The 27,851-nt window shown below is 39.3% G+C and overlaps 2 protein-coding genes across 15 annotated transcripts in view, besides 8 other annotated features; one reads left to right on the top strand and one right to left on the bottom strand.

Annotated features, from left to right (window-relative positions):
• The window catches only part of GABPA (GA binding protein transcription factor subunit alpha), a 37,489-nt gene extending 20,495 nt beyond the window's left edge, over positions 1–16,994 (bottom strand). The window contains exons 1-6 of one of the 8 annotated variants that reach the window (XM_047440738.1): positions 16,581–16,994; positions 11,934–12,086; positions 11,479–11,569; positions 10,291–10,393; positions 6,612–6,756; positions 2,846–2,930 (exon numbers count right to left, since the gene is read on the bottom strand). In XM_047440738.1, coding sequence (XP_047296694.1) covers positions 2,846–2,930; positions 6,612–6,756; positions 10,291–10,367 — 307 coding nt within the window. In that variant the 5' untranslated portion in view covers positions 10,368–10,393; positions 11,479–11,569; positions 11,934–12,086; positions 16,581–16,994. Of the gene's footprint in view, positions 1–2,845; positions 2,931–6,611; positions 6,757–10,290; positions 10,406–11,478; positions 11,570–11,933; positions 12,087–16,387 lie in introns of all 8 variants that reach the window. The other 7 variants (XM_047440737.1, XM_024452062.2, XM_047440739.1 and 4 more) reach the window with 7 other exon arrangements.
• Positions 16,001–16,210: a silencer, noted in NCBI's record as "silent region_13234". NCBI's record gives its function as "represses an Ori minimal core promoter by ATAC-STARR-seq in GM12878 lymphoblastoid cells {active_cell/tissue: GM12878}" and the evidence as "EXISTENCE:reporter gene assay evidence [ECO:0000049][PMID:35858748]".
• Positions 16,271–16,410: a silencer, noted in NCBI's record as "silent region_13233". NCBI's record gives its function as "represses an Ori minimal core promoter by ATAC-STARR-seq in GM12878 lymphoblastoid cells {active_cell/tissue: GM12878}" and the evidence as "EXISTENCE:reporter gene assay evidence [ECO:0000049][PMID:35858748]".
• Positions 16,313–27,466, top strand: ATP5PF (ATP synthase peripheral stalk subunit F6). 7 transcript variants are annotated; one of them, NM_001320266.2, is made up of 5 exons: positions 17,062–17,113; positions 17,591–17,633; positions 22,165–22,335; positions 26,616–26,740; positions 27,289–27,466. In NM_001320266.2, the coding sequence occupies exons 3-5, from the start codon at positions 22,172–22,174 to the stop codon at positions 27,324–27,326; spliced, it is 327 nt and encodes a 108-aa protein (NP_001307195.1). In that variant the 5' UTR covers positions 17,062–17,113; positions 17,591–17,633; positions 22,165–22,171; the 3' UTR covers positions 27,327–27,466. The 7 variants fall into 7 exon arrangements, with proteins under 7 accessions (NP_001003697.1, NP_001003696.1, NP_001676.2 ...); NM_001003697.2 differs by lacking the exons at positions 17,062–17,113; positions 17,591–17,633 and adding an exon at positions 16,313–16,479; NM_001003696.2 differs by lacking the exons at positions 17,062–17,113; positions 17,591–17,633 and adding an exon at positions 16,313–16,651.
• Positions 16,587–17,242: an enhancer, noted in NCBI's record as "NANOG-H3K27ac-H3K4me1 hESC enhancer chr21:27107035-27107690 (GRCh37/hg19 assembly coordinates)". NCBI's record gives its function as "activates a minimal SCP1, AML or CMV promoter by ChIP-STARR-seq in naive H9 embryonic stem cells {active_cell/tissue: H9 hESC(naive)}" and the evidence as "EXISTENCE:reporter gene assay evidence [ECO:0000049][PMID:30033119]".
• Positions 16,911–17,030: an enhancer, noted in NCBI's record as "active region_18319". NCBI's record gives its function as "activates an Ori minimal core promoter by ATAC-STARR-seq in GM12878 lymphoblastoid cells {active_cell/tissue: GM12878}" and the evidence as "EXISTENCE:reporter gene assay evidence [ECO:0000049][PMID:35858748]".
• Positions 17,051–17,160: an enhancer, noted in NCBI's record as "active region_18318". NCBI's record gives its function as "activates an Ori minimal core promoter by ATAC-STARR-seq in GM12878 lymphoblastoid cells {active_cell/tissue: GM12878}" and the evidence as "EXISTENCE:reporter gene assay evidence [ECO:0000049][PMID:35858748]".
• Positions 17,351–17,450: a silencer, noted in NCBI's record as "silent region_13232". NCBI's record gives its function as "represses an Ori minimal core promoter by ATAC-STARR-seq in GM12878 lymphoblastoid cells {active_cell/tissue: GM12878}" and the evidence as "EXISTENCE:reporter gene assay evidence [ECO:0000049][PMID:35858748]".
• Positions 17,561–17,640: an enhancer, noted in NCBI's record as "active region_18317". NCBI's record gives its function as "activates an Ori minimal core promoter by ATAC-STARR-seq in GM12878 lymphoblastoid cells {active_cell/tissue: GM12878}" and the evidence as "EXISTENCE:reporter gene assay evidence [ECO:0000049][PMID:35858748]".
• Positions 18,933–19,770: an enhancer, noted in NCBI's record as "H3K27ac-H3K4me1 hESC enhancer chr21:27104507-27105344 (GRCh37/hg19 assembly coordinates)". NCBI's record gives its function as "activates a minimal SCP1, AML or CMV promoter by ChIP-STARR-seq in naive H9 embryonic stem cells {active_cell/tissue: H9 hESC(naive)}" and the evidence as "EXISTENCE:reporter gene assay evidence [ECO:0000049][PMID:30033119]".
• Positions 27,467–27,851: the final 385 nt, after the last annotated feature.

Genomic DNA, 27,851 nt, shown 5'->3' with positions numbered 1-27,851 from the left:
TGTAAATCTAAATGAAAACGCAGAAGTCACCAAAAAATAATTTAGTTTATATGTTCCCAAATGGTAGAGAAAAACTACATCGAATAAAGCAAATGTAGTAAAAGTTAACATTTGGGGAATCTGGGTGAAGGATATTCAAGAATTCTTTTACTAGTCTTGCAACTTTTCTACAAGTTTAAAATAATTTTATAAAAAATAAGACACACACACAAACCCTACCTATAAACATCATTAGAAAAAAAGAAGTACCAGTTCTTACCACAATAAAATAAATAGATAAATAAAAATAAAAATTACCAATACGAAACAATAAAAATTAGACTAGGCAGAGTATAAATGAGCAGCTACCTATCCTTGGAATTTTAAAAAATCCTTCTAAGCAAATTAAAATTATTATTTACTGACTCAGTTTTTCTTTTTAAAGGACAAAGTAGATGTGTTAAAAATTATGCCAAATTTACTAAATTAAATTAACCATTAAATTCTAAATTTCATTTTAAATGAGATGAAGAAAAACCCAAATCCTGAATATTTTAAGCTCCTAGTATAAAGGTGTTAAGAACTGTAATTCCTATGGAAAAAATAAAAAATAAAAATAAATAATTTATTAATACAAAGGCTCCTCAACTATCCAGAATTAAATCAAAATTCTGATTTTGATTTAATTCTGGATAGTTTAAAACACATTTAAACTATTAAATTATAATTTGATTATACCTAATTAAATTATAATTAAGCCAAGAAATTATGCCATAAAAACAGTTATTTCATTATGTGTGCAGTACTCTCTATAAGATATACTTTTATTTATCTATTCAAAATGGAATTAGCCCTTTACGAAATAACCTCAGACTAAAATGACAGCTCTAAGACACTGTCATATTACATAACTGCTTCTGTTTCTTACTGAATCTATTACAATCTATATCAAAATTCAATCAAAGTACAGCTTAAAGAAAAAGCACAACTCAACTTCGATCTTCTGTGAAAACCAGTATTGCAAGAAACTACTACTATCATTCTCAGGTAGTTTAAAGAGAATCATTTTTCAAATATACATGATAAAAACAATCAGAATCAAAAATATTTTTTGTTAAAATCTATTTCCTAATCCTTCATCTAGATTTCATACTTTAATGGCTTTAAGCGAACTCTTCTTAAACATACTTGCATCAAGAGGTCACTAGGCTTTTAAAGATAAAAACTACTAATTTATTTCCTATTCCCAATAATCAGTCCTGAGGGAATTAAGGATCAGAAGTACGTAACTACCATTGTCAGAGTCTGAAGAAAAATGTGGTTTGTGAAACATAATTGTGAACAATATATGTTCAGAGATGAAATTATTCTAAATTTTAAAAAGCTAAAATTCAACCTACCAAAAACAGTTTCCTAATTTTCTTTTCTAACTTGGGTACTTATACAAGTTTAGTAAAATACTGTAATGAATAAGGTTGACTGGATGACTCTATGTCTATTACAAATTCTTCTCTCTGTGCTAAACTGTACTGGTTGGATTTCTTTGCAGCTAGGGTTCCAGGCGTGACCAATGCTTTAGAATCACTGGTATAAGCCTTCTATTTGGAAAAGGGTTAAGAGAGGACAAGCAGGCAGATCAGAGGTCCCCAAACCCCAGGCCACAGACCACACAACAGGAGGTGACTGGCAGGCGAGTGGATAAAGTTTCATCTGTATTTACAGTCGCTCCCTTTCACTCACATTACCGCCTGAGCTTCACTTCCTGTCAGATCAGTGGTAGCATTAAATTCTCATAGGAGCACAAACCCTACTGTGAGCTGCACATGCGAGGTATCTAGGTTGCGTGTTCCTTATGAGAATTTAATGCCTGATACTCTGTCACTGTCTCCCATCACCTCCAGATGAAACTGTCTAGTTGCAGGGAAACAAACTCAAGGCTTCCACTGATTCTACATTATGGTGAGTTGTATAATTATTTCACTATACACTACAATGTAGTAATAATAGATACAAAGCACACCATAATGTAATGCGCTTGAATTCCCCTGCCCCAATCCACGGAAAAACTGTCTTCTGTGAAACTGGTCCCTGGTGCCAAAAAAGGTTGGGGACCATTGAGGCAGATAACATCTATTTTTTTATTGATTGACTGATTGAGACAGAGTTTTCCTCTTGTTGCCCAAGATGCAGTGTAGTGACACAATCTCTGCTCACTGCAACCTCCACTTCCTGGGTTCAAGTGATTTTCCTGTCTTAGCCTCCCAAGTAGCTGGGATTACAGGCATGTGCCACCACACCCAGCTTATTCTGTATTTTTAGTAGAGATGGGGTTGCACCATGTTGGCCAGGCTGTTCTCAAACTCTTGACCTCAAATGATCTGCCCACCTCAGCCTCCCAAAGTGGTAGGATTACAGGCGTGAGCCCCCGCAGCCAGCAGACATCTATTTTTTTGACTAGTGTGGATCACTGTAAAGGCAACATGGTTAAAGTGACAGCTACCATGGTAGCTTCCAGGTGTTGTATTTTCCAGATCATGGCAGGGCAGCAGCTTCCTTAGCAGTCCAGTTCTGCAGTGTGGCTGAGGTACTCTTAGGAAGTCAGCTGCAACCTGCTGACTTCCAGTACTCTCTCTGATTCTGCTATTTACTACCATATAATATATCCTTTTATGATTGAACTAAGTAGAATGTGTTGTACTATCTGTTTCACCCTGTCAAATAAAACTACTAAACCCAAAGCATGAATTTTGGCTATTATATCATATCAAGTAATGTAGACAACCATCGAAAACACCTAAAAACTTATAAATTGTATCAGAAAAACATGAGCTAAAATTTTAAATAACTATCATGAAAAGTAACTTACCTTGGTAAGAAATTACCTGTACACTAAGCTGTACAGTTCCATCTGTTTTTACTCCTTGGTCAAATAAACTTCGTTCTGGATCCAGCTAACCATGGATAAAATGAGTAAGATTATTTCAGTGCAATCATTAGATTAAGTCCCTTGCCTTTGGTTTAGAATAAATGGATGTACCAAACAGAACTTAATTACTGAACATACTAATTAAATTATAAGAACACATTATTTAGCTTGTCATATTTAATTCTTTGCCAAAATCTAAAATATTTTCACCACTGAGGAAGTAATTGAGGACAGCATACCACCAAATTTGTCATGTCAGTTTTCTCTACCTCTGGAGTCTAGTTTGGGATTTTAAATAATTCCAAAAGGCAATTATTCATTCTGAAATGTATTTAAAGTAGAAGGTAATGCTATATCTGTCATGAATAAGTAAAAGTGTTTAATTAGTCATGATAATTTATCTAAATATATTAACATATTCTTGTCATATCTGCCTTGTAATCAATGCTACATATTGAAGATAAGGGTTTACTCTAAATCTCTCATCATAAAGTTAATAAAATTAAAGCACTTATGACCTTACTACCTAACCTAGCTATGAATATCTTGAATCCTAATTCTATATCATTTCAGTATTAGTGTTTTTTCCTTCATATATCCTTATAGAATGCATTTCACACTATGGCAAATTGATGATAAAACATTAATTCTGACTTTCAGACACTTTCTGTCATCAGCTTAAAGACAGGCTTCCATTATAATCATCTTGCATAATTTATAACTGTGTCTGCATGTCATAAAGCTGCATGTCCTACTCGCATTCCCAAGAATTCAACTGATGGTGTCGTCATGGCACAAACACATGACAAATGACTATGAATCTAACTTGAACAGGGGAGAAGACAAACTGTGTACGGCTGGGCATGGTGGCTCACACTTGTAATCCCAGCACTTTGGGAGTCCAAGGCAGGTGGATCACCTGAGGTCTGAAGTTCGAGACCAGCCTGGGCAACATGGAGAAACCCTGTCTATACACAAATACAAAAATTAGCTAGGAGTGGTGGCGCATGCCTGTAATCCCAGCTACTTGGGAGGCTGAGGCATGAAAATTGCTTAGACCCGGTAGGCGGACGTTGCAGTGAGCGCCACTGCACTCAGTCTGGGCAATACAGCAAGACTCCATCTCCAAAAAAACAAAACAAAACAAAAAAAAACCTTGTAACCTTGTAGACAGATAGATTAAATATGACAGTTTCATCCATTAATATACATTTCATTAAAAATTGTCTTAATGTCAAGTTTTTTTCTCCTTGTCTGGTGGACACTGGTATTATCCATTAGAAGCTATGGCAAATGTAACTCTGAAAGTATAAGCTCTCAGGTACTGAACATATTAGCAAGTTCACTAAAAGCCAGAACAAGGACAAAACTCAAGCCTGGTATTTGATCTTGTGTTAACACTCTTCAAAAAAGTGCAACTTAGCTGTTGTTCCCTCAGCTTTCAAGTCAGCCCACAGCATTACCATAAGCAGCAAGACTTCTGACTGAAATGTATGTTTGCATTGACATGAAGAACATGTCAGTGTGGTCCTCATATCCTTTTTAAGGAGGAAAGGGGGACAAGGAGTAATGCAAAATGCCCTTAGATCCAAAGCTAGCCCTGAATTCTATGACAATATGAATTATAAATATTACCATTTATCCAACTATTATTTTCTGAGAACTTGGAAGAGCCTGGGTAATCTGCAGGCCATACTTTCATTTTGGATAGGTCAAGTGTTATAAAGAAAGCAATAAATGTTACAGCTGAAAGACAACTAAGAGATCAAGTCCAGATTCTCCTTTATTTTACATATGAGCAAAACCAGGCAAAGTCCAGTGACACTGAGTTATATTCACTATAAACCTTTAAAAAAGTTTTTTGTTTTTTCGTCTCAAACAAGTGAAGAGAGTTCTGGAGCCACAGAGGTCTGGGTTCAAATTCCAGTATACCCTTTTGTAGCCACACATTGGGCAAATTATTTAACCTCTTTAAATCTGTTTCTACATCTGCAGAATGTGACTAAAAATATGCTGATTTCAAAGACTGATGTGAAGATTACGTGAGAGAATTAGAGTGTTTTGTAAGTATTTTTTTCACTCAACGTACCTTGCCCATATAGCTCAAGTTCACCAGTTTTTAATGGCTACCTCGAATTCTATTCTATCAAATCTCATTTTTGGAACATTTGAGGTGTTTTCAGTTTTTGCAAAGCCATGAACATCTTCATGCATATATCTTTACCTACCCAAGTGAGCATTTCTGTAGGAATAATTTGCTGAAGTGGAACTGTTAGGAATTTCACATTTAACATTAACAGATATTAAATGGGAGGTGGTCTTCCAAAAAGACTAAGCTAACTCATCCTCTCATTGTTAAGAGAAAAAAACTTTAAATCCTAAAATTTGTAACACTACTAGACTTTCCCACATGCCCTAGTTTTAGAGGCACTCTATCTTCCCTACCCACCACCAATTACTAGATTTATATTGAAATGAAAAGATTAAAGTATGGTTAAAAGGCAAATAAAATGCACAAATTTTGTTAAAACACTTCAACTTATTGTACAACAATATCTTATTAAAAATAGTAGCAGCATATGATGATTTGAATTTTTAAAAAACTAATAAAAAAGTTCTGTAATATACAGAATACCCATATCACAAGGCAGGCAGGGGAAGGAGTAAAGAATAAAATAAATCAAACGATCCAGAAGATGAAACAATATACATTAATCTAAGTTAATATAAAAATAGTATAAAACTCAGCCAGGCACGCTGGCTCACACCTGTAATCCTAGCACTTTGGGAGGCCAAGGCAGGCGGATCACTTGAGATCAGGAGTTCAAGAGCAGCCTGGCCAACACAGCAAAACCCCGTGTCTACTAAAAATACGAAAATTAGCCAGGTGTGGAAGCATCGGCCTGTAGTAGTCCCAGCTACTCAGGAGGCTGAGGCAGGAGGATCGTTTGAACCTGGGAGGTGGAGGTTGCAGTGACCCGAAACTACACGACTGCACTAAAGCCTGGGTGACAGAACGAGACTCCATTTCAAAAAAAAGAAAAAAAAAAAGTATAAAACTCTAGTATTTAATCATATGTTTAAGGAAGGTCATGGAAAACTGTATGGGCAATCCTATTTAGGCTGCTACCTTTCATACATAAAAGTACTACCTATCTTTAAAACATACTGTAAAATATGACTCGGGATATGTTTCAGACATAACATATTATACTACTACCATGGGTAAAATCCTTTTACAATAAATTCCAGGACCTATCAGTTGATATTTAAATTCTTATCCAAAACTTACTGTTAGAGAAAATAAAGGTAAAACAGAAATGTAGAAATCATTTAGTTAAATGATACGTTTGAGAAGTTAAAAGCTGGCTAGAAATACACTTCAGCTTCAAAAGTCAATGGGCTTCCTACTGTTACTACTTATATTTAAGCTTTGATTCTAATTTATTTAAACTTCTCGTTTTATATTTGTGAAAGTAAAAAACAAATGTTTCATTTGTTTTAGTACTAAATATTTAAAATATAACTTTAAATGGAGAAAACTTTGCTTAAAAACCTTTTTATTTCTAAACACTTAAATTTTACAGTAATACAGGTCAAATCTTCTTACAGAGATAAAGTCTATAGCTATAAAGAAAAGGCTAACAAAAAATATTCCTATGCAGACTAAAATGTTGCAATAGAAATTTACAAAAATAAAAATTACCTGGATATCTTGCAGACAAATTTCATGAGCATCCAAAGAACACTGTAGTCTTGGTTCTAGCAGTTTCTTTAAATTGCCTATTGGTTCATTGATGTCTATGGCCTGGCTTACACATTCAGCTGGCGCGTAGGTTTGTTCTACAATGCTAAATGTTAAAGATGTAAGTGCTAACAGTTACATTTTTTACCCTGGATTTCAAAGCAACAATATGCTAAAAACACAATCCCAAACCAAAACACATTTCTGGTCTTTGAAAAGTCATTTCTACATAGATACTGTGGCAGGCTCATCACCAACTAGTGTTGCCAAAATGAACACTGAATTTCATAGAGAAATGCTAAGCTTGAAATTTAAAGCATCCTTGTAAATATGCCTCATTATGTATGTACATACATATGTGTGTATGTGTACACATATAAACATTGCACATACATTATGTTTGCATTTGCATTACATTTTCAAGTTATTTTGAAGAATTTTAGACCCAGAAAGGAAGACACATTGTCTCCTCAAAATCTGTATGCCATCTCTACTAGTCAATTTCCCTTCCCCACATAAAAAAAAAGAAAGATATAAAAATAGAATAAGTTAAATAAAAGACTTTCCCTTTAATTTAATATGAACACAACTGGTTATAATCAGGACAGCTCAACGTTTAAAAAAAAAATGTATATTCTTCCTAAAAACTGTCTTAGTGCTCTTTCATATTATTTCACACTTTGAATTCAAAAGGGTTAAAATCTTTGGTAAGTAATCCTACATAACTCTTACAAATCCTTATATAGGGCCAAATAGACAAATACTAAGTAATATTTGCTGAATTGGTGAATGTGGAATTCAATTAAGTATTCCAACATGTTTAATTTAAATATGATTTAAATCTTATTTGTGATTGTCAAAAACAGTATGCATTAAAAATCTGTCAAGTTTTCACATAAATTACAAGTAAAATGAGATACATACATGATATTCAATGAATGTATATAGCTTAAACTTTTTTCTAAAATATTTATTTATATTTTAATTTTAGAGAGAGTCTCCCTATGTTCACACCAGGCCGGCCTCAAACTCCTGAGCTCAACTGATCTTCCCACCTCAGCCTCCCAAGTAGCTGGGACTACAGGTGTGTGCCATTGCACTTGACTTAAAACATTTAAAATTTATAAAATAGAACCCTCATGATTAAAAACAAGCTTATTTAAAAATACTAGTCTACTATTGTTATTTGTTAAGGTAAAAAAAAACTTTAAGTAAGCCTTTTTACCAAACTCTTCAGCTATAGCCTGGTAGGTTTTTTTTTTTTTTTTTTTTTGAGACAGAGTCTCGCTCTGTTCCTAGGCTGGGGTGCAGTGGCGCGATCTTGGCTCACTACAACCTCCGCCTCCCGAGTTCAAGCGATTCTCCTGCCTCAGCCTCCCGAGTATCTGGGACTACAGGCATGCGCCACCATGCCTAGCTAATTTTTGTATTTTTTGTAGAGACTGGCATGTTGGCCAGGATGGTCTCGATCTCTTGACCTCGTGATTCACCTGCCTTGGCCTCCCAAAGTGCTGGGATTACAAGCATGAGCCACTGTGTCAGGCCAGTTTTTTCTTTTTTTGTAACAATTACTCTTAAGATTCAAATGTCACTTTTAAAACAAATTTTTAAAGAACTACTTTATACTAGCTGAACATTAAACATTTTTAAAAAGTTTTTATTGCTATCATTTAAACCTTGGAAGACCTCAAATATCTAAAGTACCAATTTCTCTTAAAAAAAAAAAAAAAAGATGATCTCATACTACTAGACCTAAATTCTTGCACAGCAAAAATCTACGTTAGGTGAACGACAATTACTGCCTCCTTCACATAGGTCATACATATTAATTACCAATCTGTCGCCTAACCTAGACTATCCACAAAAGGTCAGATAGTACATACTTTAGACTTTGTGGACCATCTGTGTGCATGCATGTATAAATATATGCATGCTAGACTCCAAGAGGGCTGCCAATGATTCTTAAATTCATGCCCTTTTAAAGTTCCCTCCAGCACTGTACTAGGGTTGGACTGTGTGACCAGAAGACTAAGACAAAGTGATATGTCACTTCTTAGATTACTTAAAAAAGACACTGGGGCTTTCTACTTTGCCATTCTGTCTCTCAGACCATTTGCTTTAAGGGAAGCCAGCTGCCATCCCATGAGCAGCCCTAGAGAGAGTCATGTGATGAGGAACTGAGGCATCTTGCTGAGAGTCTCAAGCATGACTTTGGACGCAGACACCCTAGCCCTAGTCAAGTCTTTACAAGACTGCAGCCTGGGCTGACAGCTTCATTGCAAACTCATGAAATACCCGAGACAGATCCACCCAGGTAAGTTGCTCCCAGGTTTCTCTGAGAAACAATGAGCAATAAAAAATGTTGGGCTTTTTTTTTTTTTTTGAGACCGCACCTTGTCCTGTCACTAAAGCTGGAATGCAATGGCACAACGATGGCACAATCATGGCTCACTGCAGCCTTGAACTCCTGGGCTCAAGCAATCCTCTCACCTCAGCCTCCAGAGTAGCTGGGACTTAGGCACATGTCACCAGGCCAGGCTATTTTTTTTTTTTTTTGTATGTTTTGTAGAGACAGGGTTTTGCCATGCTGCCCAGGCTGGTCTTGAACTCCTGGGCTCAAGTGATCTGCCCACCTCAGCCTCCCAAACTGTTGGGACTACAGGCATGAGCCACTGCATCTGGCTGAATGTTACGCATTTTTAGTTTCTGAATTTTGGGGTAATTTCTAACACAAATATCTATACATGAAATTCCACAGAAGCATGCATTCCCTCTTTCTTATGCTGGAAAAACTGGGATAAACAAGTTGAAAAGCTCTATTAAAAATTTAAGATTTTAAATCTCAACTGTACTCTCAATACTCAGTATCCTCCTTAACCTTAATTATCTTGTCCAGTTCCACTGCAGAAACTTCTAAACCTTTGTTACTCCACAGAGATCTCTAGTACTTTTCAATCCCTTTTACTTTCAGCTTATTATCTCACCTCCTACTTCACGGAGTACAATAGGGACCATTAACTACTACTTTCCTCAGTCTTCTTGTTGACTCCCAAAGTCTATTTCTACCCATGTTCTCTCCTGGATTCTGAACTCATTACTACTGTCCTCCTTTCAAATAAGTATGATTCCACTATTATTCCAAGAATTAACACTTTTCACTACATTTTATGCTTAGTACTGGTCCCGTAAGTACTCATATACCTGTATGTCTCCTCAAATACAACGTGGCCTTTATAAGGGCAGATTAGTATCTTATTTATTCACATATTCTTGTCAATTAGTTGTTTACAACAGTTACTCATAAATATTTGTTAAATGAGTTCAGGTTGAATTAAACTATTTCTGAAATTAAAGCAACCAGTGCTGAGGAAAAGAATAAAGAATCAAATGCCCCAAAGGAGAAAACTATTGAAAGCAATTGCTTTTGATTTCATTTACCCTTTTACTACCATTAGTTTAAAACTGTCTTTCCCTCTCAGCTACAACCACATTAAGTCAGAGGAAATAAAACAATACATTATTCCCTAAAATACTGAGAACAGTTAAAAAAAGACAGTCCAAAAGAACTATGACTTGTTTCCTGGTTTTAATTAGGTATATTGATATTTTGAAAAAAAATGATAAATTCAGAAACACCAACCTTTCTTCTGTGCACTCTGCTTTCTCTGTTCCATCAATCTCAATTTCTATCAGCTCCTCTGCTTCTCTTTTAGTCATGGCTGGAGTATTTCAAAGGATCAGTCCTGCAAGAGTGACTTTTTAAGATATTTTAAAACTATCCACATAAACGAAATGACACACAAGAAGTAGAGACCCAATCCAAATAAAAAGCAAACGCCAAGCAGAAGAGGGGGAAGTAGTCTTTACATATAGAAGAAAATCAGCTGGGTGTGGTGGCTCATGTCTCTAATCCCAGGACTTTGGGAGGCCAAGGCAGGCAGATTGCTTGAGCCCAGGAGTTTGAAATCAGCCTGGGTAACTTGGCGAAATCCTGTCTCTACTAAAAATACAAAAATGAGCAGGGCGTGGTGGCACGCGCCTGTAGTCCCAGCTATTAATACTTCGGAGGCTGAGGTGGGAGGATCACCTGAGCCCAGGAGGCTGAGGCTGCAGTGAGCCATGATCGCACCACTGCACTCCAGTATGGGCGACAAGAGACCCTGTTTGAAAAATAAAATAAAGAAAATCCACAAATGACATTTATAAACTAATTTTTTAAAAAACTGGTGTTTATTAACCTGACATGACAACTTCATTAATCTACTGGATTTACTGAGATGTTTTCGGGACCAATTGCAATCAACAAGTTACCTCAAAATTAAGTTAAGGGTCTGTTAACTATATTAAAGCAACTCAGTCTCAATAACAGATTCAAACCTGAAGCTTAACATGGAGATGAACTATGTTTATTCAGCTGAAAGTTGTACCTTAGTAGCAGAATTTACTGCAAAGTATCACACTGATACAATGATATGCAAATTAATCAGCTAGGATTTGGTACAAATGATGTCTCTTATAAATGCAAGAATATTATAAAACAGCAAAACAAAGTAACAAATTACAGATATGCACATTATTTCCCTGATTACACACAGTAGAAAATTTTTAATGATTTTTTCAGAGGTGGTTTTATTTTAAACAGACCACTACTTCAGTTTTTAATTATCCCATGTAAAATTTTTATCTATTGCTTAAAACCACTGATACAAAAACATTAGAATTTTAAAAATGCTAAAGAATACACAAATAGCTAATATACATAGATATTTCTTTGTGGACATGTCTGAGGTGTTAATACTGTTAAGTACCAGGTTCTGTTATTAACTACCTCGCAGTAGGTCAATGAATGTCTTTGAATTCCATACGCACTTTCAGTCCACAGCACCTTCTGAGTAGTTATTCTAAGCGTACTACCACATCTAAAAAGAGGCGTACCTTTAAAAGGAACGCTCCACTAAATTTGGTATTTCGACATTTACAAAAGAGTTGTGCTCCCACTTACAAGATTTCACTAAATGAAGAATTTAAATGTTCATTTGTATTAACCATTACTCGCCGAGCATCAGGCACTGCATTCAAATGCTTTGCATAGAGCAATCTTATTTTGAGCTCCATCTCATACGAACGCTATTCAGAGGTGAGGCTAAACCACTTGTGGCTCCATGTCACAGTTTTGGTGTATCAACCTAAGTAGGTATCATTCCAGATGGGGATGAACCATGGTTGTCCAAATATAGGCTCTGTATTGCGTATATCAGTACAACAGCCACCACCACCCCTTACCTGGAGTACTGCAACAATCTCCTAAAGGGGGTCCCTGTGTCCACTCTTGTCCCCTCACAGTCTATTCTCAGTCAATACAACGGCCAGAGTGTGATCGTTTTTAAAACGCAGCTAGGGCCAGATACGGTGCCTCATGCCTGTAATCCTAATACTCTGGGAGATCGAGGAGAGAGGACTGTTTGAACCCATGAGTTCAAGACCAGCCTGGGCAACATAAAAAGAACCTGTCTCCTATAAAAACATTTTTAAAATTAGCCAGGCATGGTGGTGTGCAACTGTTGTCCTAGCTACTTGGGAGGCTGAAGTGAGAAGATCGCTTGAGACCAGGAGTCGAGGCTGCAGTCAATGATGATCGTGCCACTGCACTCCCTCCTGGGCAACAGCGAGACCCTATCTCTTGAAACAAATAAATAAAAGTAGAAGGTCCTTAAAAGTAGAAGAGGAAATTGGAAGAGAGAGCCAGAGTGATTCAATGTGAAGATCTGCCGGTTAGCTGTGACTGGCTTTGAAGATGGAGGAAAGGAGCTTTGAGCCAAGGAATGCAGGTAGCTTCTGAAAGCTAGACAAGGAACGGATTCTCCCTCGAAGGCTCTAGAAAAACAGCACTGGCAACACCTCATTTTAGCCCAGAGACCTACTTCATATTTCTGACTCCAAAACTGTAAGATAATAAACAGGTGGTGTTTTTAAGCCACTAAATTTGCATAATTTGTTACACTAGCATTAAGAAACTGAGTCTCCCTTCCCACTTTAGAAAGGGCTATAACTCTCCTAAGTTCTCAATATCTCCAACTATGGGGTAGCTGGTTTTCTGACAAATAGCTGGCACCCAAATCTAGACTGCCTGATACAAAATGATCTAATTTTTCCCACGTAATTAAGGTTGCTCTCAGGCTTGCCCTTTAAGGACGAACAATAAAAGGGTAAGGTTCTCCACTGGGATGGACGCATGCATATGGAGCAGACTGCGCAGGCTCCGTTCACAAGCACATCTAGCCGACTGCGCAGATTCTGTTCACGTGCATATCTAGCAGAATGCGCAGGCTCCAGCAGGCTTTTTTGGGGATGATGAAGAAATGAAGACCCTCTGTTTTTGGTTTTTTTTTTTCTTGCTGATGCTGGTCTAATAAGCCTTCCTTTTCTCCAATAAAGCCTATTCCTTAACTGGTGCTATGTGTAAAATTGTGGAATTCATCCTGAGGGCTGAAGAAAACAGGTGGAAACCGAGTAGGGATCTACCTTGAAGGACAACATAAGCTTCCAGGGCAAGAATATGTGTTCACAAATATATACAAAGTACTCTGAAGAGTACTACCTTCAGCAGGCACTCCACCAATATGTGTTGAATAAATGAATAAGAACTATTTCACACCATATAAAATGAACTACACATGCCTTAAAGGATTAAACATACAAGGCAAAACTATGAAACAGAAGAAAATGGTGGGGACATTTTTGTGGTCTCAGGATAGAAAAAGATTTCTTAAATAAAATTCCAAGAACATAACCGTAAGGAGAAAAATCTGATTACATAAAAATCAAGATTTATGTTCAACAGACAGGCTACAGAATGGAAAGATGTTTCCAATACCCAAAAGTGACGATGGAATAGACAATGGCCTGGAATTTGATAACCAAAAAAAGGGACAAATTAGAAAAGTAGTTAAAGCATAGGAAAAGGATATTCACATAACGGGAAACCAAAATAACTCAGGATACAAAGAAATGCCCAAATTCAAATCATTCAAAAGTTCAATTTAAAACAAGAAACTACCACTTTATACCATGTGTGTGTTGGGGGCAGGGGGCGGCGGCGGCGGCAAATGTCAGAAAATTAAATAACGAGAGCAGTTAGCAGGGACATAAGATTCCCCTATCTCTGGAGATGTGGTGTACACACAGGTGTAGACATTCTGGAGAAAAGTATATCAAGCATACTCATACCTATAACCCAGCAATTTCATCCCTAACTAAGCATTCCAGAAAAATTCTCAAATTGGTTAACAGGATTGATTGACAATGTTCAGGGCAGCTTTATTGGTGACAGCTGGTGCCAATCCAAGTGTCTATTTTAAGAAAGTATTAATCAAAGAAAATGTGGAGAAAGTATACACTATGGAATTTCAGTATTGGTTAAAAGGAAATAATGTCCACACAAAATAGATATATTATAAAAAACTGTTGTCTACAGAAAAAAGTGAGAATCAGGTTTATAGCAGAATAGCACTTAAAAAAAATCACTTATTTTCAGGGCTTATAAAGAGGTCCACTCCCATCTCCACAACCAATTTTTTTAAAATTAGAAAACATAAATTTTCTGGAAACTTTGGCAAGATAGAAAAAAAAGCATTATGATGTAGCCAGAGGCTGAGAAGTGGCCCTAATGGCGTATCAGCAGGGACACCTGGGGCTCCCCTAACATAAACACTAAAATAGGAAGTTGCTACAAAGAAATTTATCCTATGATCTTTCAAAAAATTTATAGACCAATCCCTAGAAAGTGCCAAATAGAGAAAAAACAAAACAAAACAAAAACCCATGCCCTTTTGGAGAAAAAAAAAATTACTCAGTTTCTTAAATGATCTGTCAAAAAATATTACTCAGTCTCTTAAATCTTTCTTTCTCTCCTGGTTCTCTATGCTTAGTCCAGAGAAGCAAAACAGAGATTTGAGAAATAGTCCAAATCTTTCATATCAGTTTTTGAGTGAGTCTTATCTCTTTTTCTGAAACCAATTCCTCAGGCTTCTATGTCAATACTTAGGAAAACTGAGAGAAAATTACTTGCAGTTTCTCCGTCTAAGGGCTGCCCCCGCCAGAACTGCACAGAACAATTTCATATACTTTGACACTCTGGTTCTGCTGGATTAAATCCAACCTGGGGTTCGGAATGTTTCACAAGATGGGATACAAACTAAACTTGAATTTAACGAAAAATTCTGGGAACGGCTAGTGTCTTTTAAAATACAGATAGGTGTAACATTCCCTTTTGAAACTACAGATAAATTTGAGAATTGTCCTTCATTGGAGAGCATTATTACAGAGCTTAGAACATTTTGTTCCCAATATATTATAAGTGGAGTGTGGGGGTACCTGCGAGATTAACTGCACATTTTCCTAAGTTATCAAATGCTTTTCTGTGTCTGAGGAAATTAAAAGACATTTTTATTTTCAAAAATAAAGGTAGCAGTTAAGAAAAAGCAAAGCATACATATCTATGTAATATAAAAAGAGAAAGCACATACAGTGAAAGATTAACAGTTGGGACCCTCAGGTGAAGGGTATCTGCGTGTTCACTGCATGATTTTTTCCCCAATTCTTCTGTAGGTTTGGAGTTTTATATATAAAGAGTTGAGGGAAGGCTAAAGTCAACAGTTTTAATTTAGTACTCGGTCTGATGATTTGCTTCAACCTAACATCTAGCTCATGATTTAATTACTTCATTACTATACATGCCTCATGACAGATGCTCTTGTATACACAATTCAGGTAAAATTGACTTGAAGTCCACTCAGCGTCACTGTATGTCTAAAAATAAAGAAGCTTGGAAAGCCTGGATGGAACCCTGAGAGACAGGCTAGTCCCTCAAGCAGTTGCTAAAGAGTTGAGCGGTTTCTTCTGAAGTTCAAGATAACACTACCGAAGAATGTTATCACCGCCTCGTTCTACAATTCGCTCAAGTGAATCCTGCTAAATCTTTGCTCTTCTCACGAGTCAGACCTACTGCTATTAGTGGAAACTACTTATGAAATGAATTTTATTTCTAAATTTCTAATCATCTTGCAATGCAATATTAGGCATTGTCCTCTCGGTCCGCTAACCTGATCAAACTGGGGTCCCTAAATCCAAACACGCACATACAGCGTGTCTTCTAGTACACAAAAAAATTTCCAAGTAGACAACCCATTGTTATCTCCTTGGTTTACTTCCTTGCTTAAAAACAAAAAAACAAACCCAGATGGCTACCATATACGCTGATAAATGATTCTGGTGTGTGTTGTTCTATAAAGAGAGCGGATTTGAAATGAGTGAATCGCTGAGTCCCGCGATGAGACAGGGTCTGCATTTTGCTCTTAAAATCTCGGGGGCGTCAGGACCACATCCCAGCTGAGCAGGCTGAGACTGCTGAGGAGTGCGGACGGGCGAGGAGGGGACGCGGAAAGGAGGGAGCGGCGACAGGCGACCCGTCCGGCACGGGTCCCGGCGGTGCCCGGTCCCCCCGGGCTCCAGGCCGCTCGCCCCCCGCCCCTCCCCTTCGCTCCCCGCACAGCTCTCCCGCCCCTCCCCACCCGGCTCCCTCAAGTCTCCACGAACGGAAATGGGAGTCACAGCGCCGGGGACCAGCGGAAACAAAACACAGAGGCGGCCGCGGGGGGGCCCTTGTGGGGGAAAAGGCCCCGGAACGAGGCCGGCCCGCGAGGGCCCGCGCTCCCCTCCTCCCCGGCGGCCGCACTCACCCACTCCGGAATCGGCCCTGTCGCCCCCGCCCGCACTCCAGAGCCGGCTGAGAACGGCAGCGGCGAGGGCTCCACGTGCAGCGTCTCTCCGGGTAAGACCTGCAGCTCCCGCGACTAGAAGTGTGAGGTCCCAGGGCCCTTCCCGCGGAATCGGCGCTGAGAAGCCCCAACCCCCCTCCCGCCTCCCAGGCACCTTCGGGTCCAGGACTACAACTCCCGGCAGGGTGCGCAAAACGACCGCCCAAGGCAACGGAGGCTCACGAGGTACAAGGAAGCACAACGCCCCAATCCGCTTTGTTTTACACAGTCTCACTTTCCCTGCACCTTTATACACTTCGATAACCCTAACGAACAGGACGCTGACTCGGAGGGGAGCTTGAACTAGGGGAAAGGCCACTCAAAGAGCGCATGCGTACAGAGCAAGGTTTCAAGGAGGGGAAAAAGAACGGGTCAAATTAGGCGAAGAAAAGATGGCGGAGGCTGTGCCAGGGGACCCGGAAGCACTTACCCTCCACTTCCTCCTCCTGTTTGGCTTCTGTCTCACCTAGACCCGTCCGGTCGCAGACTGTCTCCGAGACGCTTCCTGTCCGGTGAGCGTCGACCGACTGAAACGGCGGCCCATAATGCATTGCGATGGCGGGTAGGCGTGTGGGGGCGGAGCCAGGGCCGGAAGTAGAGCGGAGGTGGTGGCGGCGGAGGCTTTGGCAGCTCGGGACTGAGTGCAAGGTGACTGGGAGGGTAGCTAGATCAGCGTGGCCTTTTGGGACTCCAGTTCTGGGTTTTTTCACGAGGCCTGGGCTGCCTCTCACCTTTACTAGGAGGAGAGAGCAGCTCTGTGTCCTGGGGACCTTCACGGCCTGGCCCGGGGTCACAGCTGACCTCTACGTTTGTAGACCTTGGAGTTTGCCGTAGACCCAGAAATAAGATCGATACCCTCTCTGAGGGCAAATCGGGGCGGCGCGGGGGGCAGGGAGGCCCGGGGGTCTCGGGCCCGCAGCCTGGCTGGGGCAACCCAAGGTCAGGCGCGCGGGAGAGATTTTCGGCCAGGCCTACCCGCCCCGGGCGCACGGGAGCGTCTAGGCTACTTAGGCAGAACGTGTACCATTAAGAGGGAAAAAATTAGTCATAATATTGAAAGTTTGCATCCCACCTAAAAACGATGGTGCTAACACTTCATTAGGCGACTTTATGGATTGTTCATAGGAATATGCACTGAAGAGGCAGCGAACCTACTAACCTTTGGCCGGTCAGTCATCACTATAAATAGAACCATGCTCCCACCCAGAACAAGGCCTCTGCTCAGACTAGTGTTTTCTTACTGTTGCCTTCCCCAGTCTTTCTGATCATGTCAGACGCTATCATATGCTCTCGTGGCACCCGATGGTACTGGAATAGAGAATTTATGTCAGGTGGTATTTCACAGCTATTTGTGTAATGACTATCTTCTGCGTTTTAGTGGACAATATGCATTCACTAATCAGTGAAAAAAAATGAAAGGGATTAAAGGAGAAGGAACAAGTTTTGATATGGGATTATGTGTTCGTTTTTTGGATGAGTTCGTAGGACTTATAAGGGAGATGAGAACTGTTGAATGCTGTGGATAGATTTGGGGCTCAGGATGAATACTAAAATTAGAAATGCGATTGGGGAATCATAGGCACTTACATGGTGGATAATTGAAACAATGAAAGTGGATTTTACCCGTGTTGCAGAAGGAGTAACATCTATGCAGTCAGACTTAGAGCAAATTAACTGTGAGAATACGTGCAGCTTAATCTTTCTTAGATACAGTTTTATCATCTGTAAAGCAGGGATAAGAACACTTTAACTCTTTGAGAGTATTGCTGTAAGGGTACAAGGAAAGGATATATATGGAAGTACTTTGCACAGTATCTAGGGCTAAGCAAATGTCGGGTGAACCTATTGCTGAATGTTAAGCATGTCCTTAGTTTGCCAGAAGGGAAAGTGGCATTGAATTGCACAATTTTTTTTTTTGCATATATGTGTTAAGTTAGATTTTGCTGTGTAACTTTGACCAGATACTTTTTTTTTGAGACAGAGTCTCGCTCTGTCGCCCAGGCTGGATTGCAGTGGCACGATCTCTGCTCACTCCAAGCTCCACTTTCCAGGTTTACGCCCTTCTGCCTCAGCCTCCGGAGTAGCTGGGACTACAGGTGCCCGCCACCACGCCTGGCTAATTTTTTGTATTTTTCAGTAGAGACCGGGTTTCACCGTGTTAGCCAGGATGGTCTCGATCTCCTGACCTCGTGATCTGCCCGCCTCGGCCTCCCAAAGTGCTGGGATTACAAGCGTGAGCCACCGCGCCCGACCACTTTGACCAGATACTTCTAATCCTCAGTTTCTGTGTGTTTAAACATAGGAATGATAATAAGTGGCACATGACCTTGTGAGGTCATTTGTTGTTTGCTTGTAGCCTTTTCTCAAGTATTTTTCCCTGATGGGGTATAAAAGTGATATGTTATGAATTCTTTAATTTCTTCAAACAGTTTGCTTTCATTCTGTCAGGTGAAGCATATTTTGTTGATTGCATTGATAGTAGGATTTCTTTTTTTTTTTTTTTTTTTTTTTTTTTGAGACAGAGTTTCACTCTTGTTGCCCAGGGTGGAGGAGTGCAGTGGCGCGATCTCGGCTCACCGCAACCTCCGCCTCCTGGGTTCAAGGAATCTCCTGCCTCAGCCTCCTGAGTAGCTGGGATTACAGGCATGTGCCACCACTCCCGGCTAATTTTGTATTTTTGGTAGAGACGGGGTTTCTCCATGTTGGTCAGGCTGATCTTGAATCCCTACCTCAGGTGATCCACCCACCTTGGCCTCCCAAAGTGCTGGGATTACAACAAAGTGCTGGGATTACAGGCGTGAGCCATCACGCCCGGCCTGATTGTAGGATTTCTTTCTTTCTTTTTTTTTTTTTTTGAGACAGGGTTTCACTCTGTAACACAGGCTGGAATGCAGTGGTGCAATCACAGCTCACTGCAGCTTCTACCTCCCAAGCTCAAGTGATCCTCCAGCCTCAGCCTCCCAAGTACCTGGGACTACAGGCACCCACCACCGCACTTGGCTATTTTTTTTTTTTCTGTAGAGATGGGGTCATACTGTGTTGCCCAGGCTGGTCTTGAATTCCTGGGCTTAAGTGATCCTCCTGCCTTGTTCTTCCAAAGTGCTGGGATTACAGGCATGATCCGCTGCACCTGGCTCATTGTAGATTTCTTTTGATAATTTTTACATGCCATTCCAGAGTTTGTCAACCTTGGCATTATTGACATTTTGACCAGATAATTCTTAGGGGTGGGAGGGCTGTTATTGTCGTTATAGTGTTTGGCAGCATTCCTGGCTTTGTACTCATTATAAGCCAGTAGCACTCAGCTTGGTGAGAACAACCAAAAATGTCTAAAGACATTGCCAGATGTCTCCTTGGAGAGAAAAAAACTCACTTCTTCCCCCACCCCCAACCCTATTTTGAGAACTATTGTGCGACTCTACAGTTTTCTAGCTAGTGCTGCTCAAACTCTGAGTGGTAAAGGGCCATTCTCACACCCACTCCTGTGGACACTTTTGAATACAGTGAAAATGAATTACAAAAGAAATGAAATTTAAAAAACAAAACAATGAAGTCACTTAAAATACAAGCTCTAATTTTTTAGAGACAGGTTCTCTCCATGTTTCCCAGGCTGGTCTTGAACTCCTGAGTTCAAACAATCCTCCCTCCTCGGCCTCCCAAAGTGCTGGGATTACAGGCATGAGCCACCTCGCCTGGCCTCTAAATACTTATATCTAATTTCTATATTACTTTAGACCAATAACATAGTTTGTATACTTCCACTAGTCCTATTATAACTTAGTAGAAGTCCGGTGTCAATGTGATGATGACAGTATTGCTATTAGGAAATTTGGGGAGGGCATGGGAAACATGTTAGCATATCAGATTTTCACTTGAAGATTCAGAAATTTTACCAGCCAGGGCAATATGGCAAGACCTCGTCTCTACAAAAAAAAAAAAAAAGTAAAAATTAGCCTGGTGTGATGGCACACAACTGTGCTCCCATCTACTTGGGAGGCTAAGGTGGGAGGATTGCATGAGTCCAGGAGGCTGAGGCTGTAGTGAGCCGTGTTCATTCTGGGCAACAGAGTGAGACCCTGTCTGAAAAAAAAAAAGATTGAGAAATTGTACCAGGCTGTGGTGCATTGTGAGCCTTTTGTCACCGTTCCAATATGGGGTTTGGCAAGCCCTGTCAGTTTATAGACTCGGCCTTAATCTGAGAAAAATGTATTCTACTAATTATTTATGGTCTCTTTTAATCATTTCCTTTTTTTTCTTTTTGAGACAGAGTCTTGCCCTGCATCCAGGCTGGAGTGCAGTGGTGTGATCTGGGCTCACTGCAGCCTCCGCCTCCTGAGTTCAAGTGATTCTCCTGCCTCAGCCTCCCAAATAACTGGGATTACAGGCACGCGCTAGCACGCCTGACTTATTTTTGTATGTTTAGTGGAGACAGGGTTTCACCATTTTGGGCAGGCTGGTCTCGAACCTCTGACCTCAAGTGATCCACCTGCCTCGGGCTGAAGTGCTGGGATTACACACATGAGCCACCGTGCCTGGCCCTCTTTATTCCTTTTCTTCTAGAATTCCTGTTTGTACCTATTTGTTGTAATTTGGATTATTTTTTGCATTTGATCTTTAAATCACTAAAGTAAATCTCAACAGGAATTGTCCTCTACTGAAATGTTTTAGTTAGAAAGTAATATATTTTAGCTTAAGGAAGTCTAGGGATTTGAAAGTCTTTAAGTCTTTTTTTTTTTTTTTTTTTTTTTTTTTTTTTTTTTTTTTGTGAGACGGAGTCTTGCTCTTGTTGCCCAGGCTGGAGTGCAATGGCACAATCTCGGCTCACTGCATCCTCTGCCTCCTGGGTTCAAGCAATTCTCCTGCCTCAGCCTCCTGAGTAGCTGGGATTACAGGCATGCGCCACCACGCCCAGCTAATTTTTGTATTTTTAATAGAGACAGGGTTTCTTTTTGTTGGTCAGGCTGGTCTCAAATTCCCAACCTCAGGTGATCCACCAGCCTCAGCCTCCCAAAGTGCTGGGATTACAGGCGTGAACCACTGCACCTGGCCATAAGTCCTTATTTTTAAAATTCAGACTTCCATCTCCTTCACCAATTTATTTCACTGATAAAGTTGGACTGCCGGATCCTCCCCACTGTCATGCACAGCTCATTTGGACTGGCTGCTGTTTTTCTTTGCTGGTTCTTCTGGACTTTGATTTAGTTGTTACAGTATTCTTAAATGGCTGGAATCCATTTGTAACAGGCAGAGCAGTTTCTCCCTCTGTGGGCCTGTGAAGTACACATTTTCAGGTTGTCATGCCCGGCTGAGGTATGGGAAACCTTGTACATTAGTTTGGGGGCCAGTGTACTTTTCCTGTTAGGAGCGGACAGTGTTGCAACAGTCTACCTCTACTGTTTTCTCTGATCCATGACTAAGTTCAAGGGGGAAGAAATACCTCACCTCACATTTTGTGCTCTAACCCTGATGAAGCTTCAGGCCTGAGTTTCTAACTGTTCCATTATCCCAGAGCCTTTTGGTTAAGACCTAAAAAACTTGCAATGGGGAATAAGGAGGAGAAGGGAACTGTGGTCAGGTATAGACTGAGATCTGATATGATGTAATTCTGTAGCAATTAGTAGAATTTGATTCTCATGATATATTTAGAGGTGATTTATAATAAGTATATTAACGTTTCTGCTGCTTGTTTTCTGTAACAGAATCAGCATGATTCTTCAGAGGCTCTTCAGGTTCTCCTCTGTCATTCGGTCAGCCGTCTCAGTCCATTTGCGGAGGAACATTGGTGTTACAGCAGTGGCATTTAATAAGGAACTTGATCCTATACAGAAACTCTTTGTGGACAAGATTAGAGAATACAAATCTAAGCGACAGTAAGTGAATAAATAACTACAGTGTAAATATAAATATTCAAAGTATGTAAGTTTCAAGGTGGTAATAAAAATGACTTGGTATTTGAAAGTATTAGACCTTCACTGAGCTCATCTCTGACATAGAGGTTCATTAGGTGCCCTCAAAAAAGAAGATAAGGATCTTGATTTTTTTAAGTCAGAAACTGTATCTTTATATGAGTTACAAGGGAAAATCCTACTAAATTTATTGCTGTTTAAAATACATTCTTACTGTCATGTCATGTATTATAAACCACATCAATTTATAGAAATACATAGGGTCTTGGAAATCATTTAGCAGCTAAGTTTGAAAAAAGTAACTCCCTTAGACATTGATTAGCCGAAGATCATAAAACTAATTGGGGAAAAATATATTATCAAAGTATATTTTAGCCTCAATTTAGTGGCCTTTCTGTGACATTGTAATTTGGGGGAAATGTATAAACACAGCTCTTTTTTTTAAAAGGCTATTTCCATAGTTACAGATCTCTGAGAATGTATATTAAAGGACAAAAGACTCTGAAATGACATAATGTAAGTCCAAGAAAAACAATTGTAGAACCATAGTTTTGGAAAGGAATGACCACCTTAGCTGTCATCAGGTCCAAACCCAAATCTTAGGAACAGTGAGGCGCACCAATTCATAGTTCCATTTTCTTTCATATAGTTGTCTACTGTGTGTAAAGCACTTGGCTATTAACCGTGATGGGCCACAGGGCATTTTTACAATATTCTTAAAGTCCGATAGGAGTAGAAAGCTTCTAAGCAAATAAATACAATATAAGGTAAAATGAGTTAGGTGCTAAGGTAGGGAAACGCTGGGTGCTTGGGGAGTTCATAGGAAAGAATACTCCTTTCCAGCTAGAGGCATTTTAGAGGCTTCTTGGAAGGCAGTGTTTGGGTACTCATCCCTCTTGAGAATCTCATGGACAACTGTGGATCATCTTCCCAGTTTAAAGAAAAAAACGTGAAGAATTTACTCACATCATTTTCCTTATAGCATGAAACAGTTCTCAAACCCACAGGAGGCCTTCAGTAGACCTGTACACCCAGGGGTTTACTCTAGGTTTTAAAGATCAGTGTATGAAGGTTGGACAGATAAATGAGGGTAAGAGGAGAGTATCTTTTAGGAGGAAAGAATGGTGTGAACTAAGGCATGAAAATGCCTTAGTTTGTGCTAGAAAGCACAAAATATATTTGGTGAATGGTATAATTCTATTTCCCTGGAGTATAGGGTATATGAAGAGTATAAGGATGGTATGGGGTTAGAATGAGGGATTATGGAAGGCCTTGATTGTAGACTGAGCAAGTAAGATATGTGGTAGGCATTTGTGAGAAATTACAGCTTTTTGAACATGACTGTGGGGATGGAAGATTACTCTGAATTAGGAGGATAATTTTAACCAGGGTATTGGAAGGATTGAAATGAGAAGAGAGCAAAGACAGACATGTTAGCAAAATGTAACCTAAGCATTAGTTGATGAGAACCTTGACTTTATAGCAGTGGTAATGTAAAAGTGACAGAGTCAAGACATTGAAACACTGATGCCTGGTTTTGGTGAGCTGCTGGAGAGGAAGAAGAGGGAACAATAAAAGAAAACTGACTTTTGAGGCGAGGTAACTAACAAAGGTGTTACCATTGCCAAAACTGAGGAGGAGAAATAGTGAAGGGATTAAAATGTAGTAAGTTACTCTGTGCTTTGTAGACATGGTAATGAAACTCTGACAACAACCCTATAGATGTTACCCCAATTTTATATATGAGAAAACCAAGGCTGAAAGTTAGAATTTGCCAAAAATCATACTGTTAAGTAACCAGATGTGCAGGACTCGTCAGGGAATTTTGAGTGTCTTCTGTCCAAATGTGGTGTTATATTAGAGTATTGATGCTGTTTGCATCATTTTAACTGTCTTTAAAAGCCTATCTAGTAAGAAGTGAATTCTTAGGTGTACCCTATATCTAAGGAGTCTTGTTTGTGGGTCATTCATTCGTTTGTGCAAACAAACACATGGAGAGTTCTGAGGGTAGACCCTGGGCTGGCATCCAGCACTGCCACTAATTAGCTCTATGACCTTGGGCAGGTTTAACTTCTGTAGGACAGTTTTCTCATATGTAAAAGGAGGATGATGGTAGTACTTACCCATTTCATAGGATATTATAAAAATTAAATTATTCAATACATTAGCATGCCTAGTATTTGCTAGTGAAATGAACAAGTATCTTCTGAGTGACTGCTTTGTCCTAGGCATCATGTGAGAGCCTAGGAATATAGTAATAAGCAAGATAAGCAGCAAGACTTACATTCAGTTGAGGAGGTAGATGATTTCTGGCCTCTTTTTATCACAAGAGTGCATATTAAAGTTAAAATAGCCATCATCCATCTGTAACCAGTATTAGAGTATCTAGTTGAAGGATCTATTTAGAACCGCAGTGTCCATTTTGGTTGCCGTTATCCATGAGACTATTCAAATTCTAATTACAATTAAGTGTATTTATAAATTCAGTTTCTCATTTTCTCATTCATGTTAGCTATATTTCTAGTGCTCAATAGCCAGATATGGCTAGTGGCTGCCACACTGGACAGCACAGACAGAGAGCGTTTCTAACATCACAAAAAGGTCTATTGGACAGTGCTAATCTAAAAGAAAATTGGGTCTCTAACAAGAAATATTGATAACAAGTTCTTAAATTGGAGCCACCTATGTATTTTTTGTGCATGTTCTTTAACTTAAATAAGACTGTATACTTTGATCATAGGCATGTGTAAAAATGTTATTACCCTTGAAGGAATTTTCATGTGTACATTTTTTTACATTTAGAATATTGTTCATTGCTAGGTAGGCAGTAGTATTTATGACAAAAACAGAAGAATTTCTTCAAAGAATTAATGAGACCCAGTTGGCCCTGCTGCTGGTCCATAATGCTATATTTATTTTCCCAAAATGCACAAGTCTAATTTTGTCATTTTATTGCTTGGCAAATAAAATACAAACTCCCAGGCTTAACATTCCGGGCCTCCCATGATCTGGGGTCTGCTGGTTTTTCCATCTAGACTCCTTAGCATTCCCCACATACAGCCAATCCCTTACCACCTCTATGTCTTTGCTTTTTCCATCTTAGAAGGTCTCAAAATAAACCCTGGCCCCAGATGCCTGATGTTTCTCAAATGCCACCTTTTTAAAATGAAATTTTCCCTGATTAGCTTAGCAAAAGTAATCTCTTCCTCAACTTGAATAGCTTTTTGTTAAATCATGTCTTTGAAGCTCATCACATCACTCCTTTACAGCATAAATGTTTGTAAACATGTAATTTTTTTCTTCGAAATTGCAAAATCTCTGAGGGTAGGAAATAATTTGCTTCTTTAATAGGACCCCTATGGTAGAAACTTAAAAGTCTAAGGTCTTTAAAAGCCATTTAGTGATGGCTGACTTAAAGCAGATGATATTAGTAGATAATAATTGAGTACTCACTGTGTGCCAGGCACTGTGCTTAGAGGTACGTGTGCATTTACACCCTCGTTTGGTAGAACCTTCATATTTAGTTGTGGAAACTAAAATTTAGAGTGCTCTGTGCCTTACTCAGGTTTACGCAGTTGCTGAATAGTTGAACTTACACTCAAACAGGACCAGTCTTTGACTCCAGAGCCTGTAGACTTAACGATACACCTTTTGCAACTTAGACCCTGAGAAATTCTGACTTAGTGAGTGTCCGTGATTCTGAGAAACCTTGAATGTTAGAGATTGGTTTGAGGATACCTCATTTATGTGAAACCTCATCGTAATAAAATAGTTTGAATTGAAATTGAAGTAGAAATACTTATTTTCTTTCTGAAGTCTTTTCTTTGACTACATGAATGCTTTAAAAAGGTCTATTGGCCGGGTGTGGTGGCTCACGCCTGTAATCCGAGCACTTATGGGAGGCCGAGGCGGGCGGATCATGAGGTCAGGAGATCGAGACCATCCTGGTTAACATGGTGAAACCCCCTCTCTACTAAAAATACAAAAATTAGCTGGGCATGGTGGCGTGTGCCTGTAATCCCAGTTACTTGGGAGGCTGAGACAGGAGAATCGCTTGAACCAGGGAGTCGGAGGTTGCAGAGAGCCAAGATCATGCTACCGCACTCCAGCCTGGCGACCAAGCAAGACTCCGTCTCAAAAAAGAAAAAAAAAAAAAGATCTGTTGGAATGTGGTGGTGAAAAGTAATTTTGTTTTTGTAAGCTAGTACACAAAATTAATTTTTGTTTGCTCATTTACTTAACAGGACATCTGGAGGACCTGTTGATGCTAGTTCAGAGTATCAGCAAGAGCTGGAGAGGGAGCTTTTTAAGCTCAAGCAAATGTTTGGTAATGCAGACATGAATACATTTCCCACCTTCAAATTTGAAGGTACGTCTTATAAATCACAGATTCATTCTTGTGGGGGATAAGTGAAGAATATTTACACTTACCTGGATTTTTAGAGAACTGAATGACAGTGTTGACATGTGAATTTATTAGGACCATGACGTGTGCCTGAGAAGCTGCCGGCTAAATGTTTGCTGTTAGAATAAGAGCAGTATAGGAGATCACATAACATAGTGATTAAATGGTGGGGATCTGAAATCGAACTGCCCAATCTTGAATCCTTATAATCACTTTCAGCTGTGTAATCTTGAGTAATTAACTGGTGCATGTCTCCTCATCTGACATTTGGGGAGAATTATAGTATCTTCTGCATATGTAGTTAAATGACATAATATATGCAAAGTCAATTAATGGAATGCATGGCTCATAGAAAGTGTTGCATAAATGTTTAGCTATATTTCTATGTAAATGTTTACAAACAGTGTTTACTAAAAAAATCAGAAAATTGATGAGTTAAATCTTGAGCATTCTACATAATCCATTTTATTGCAATTTGGCTAAGCTTGACCCTTTTTTCCCCCTCTTCTTAGATCCCAAATTTGAAGTCATCGAAAAACCCCAGGCCTGAAGAAATAAAGTAAAATTAATCTGGTAATTTGTCACGGATTAGTTGTACAACTAGTTAGAAGTTTCAGAATAAACATGCATTTCATAACTGTCAAATGTTCTTTTAATTCTGAGTCCAAATAAATTATTTGGTGATGTTGAGTGTGTTCTTGATGAATTGAGTTCTGTGTGTTAGAGTTGTTTTTAGATCCTTTCATTTGGTTATAATAAAGCAGATGGAGACCTTGGATGAACTGGACACAACTTGCACATAACCCTGCTTGTTGTGGAGGGATGTTACCCTTCCTTTAGAACATGAAGAAATGGTTTATAAATTCTTGGTCATAGCTTTCTCAGAAATCTGAGTGTAATTTTTTATATGTCTTGGAACATCTATTGTGTTTAACTTTGATCTCCTCAAATGTTAAATAATTTTCTCCCAGTAACCCAGGTCCCTCATCTTTGCTTGCAGATCACAGAGTCTGTTACAGTTCTGTTCAGATTGATGAGGGAAAGGTAGGGATGACGGGGGTTCTATAAAGGAACT

This window comes from Homo sapiens, chromosome 21, assembly GCF_000001405.40.
Source record: "Homo sapiens chromosome 21, GRCh38.p14 Primary Assembly".
Lineage (NCBI taxonomy): Eukaryota > Metazoa > Chordata > Mammalia > Primates > Hominidae > Homo > Homo sapiens.
This window is presented reverse-complemented; position numbering and strand designations above follow the sequence as displayed.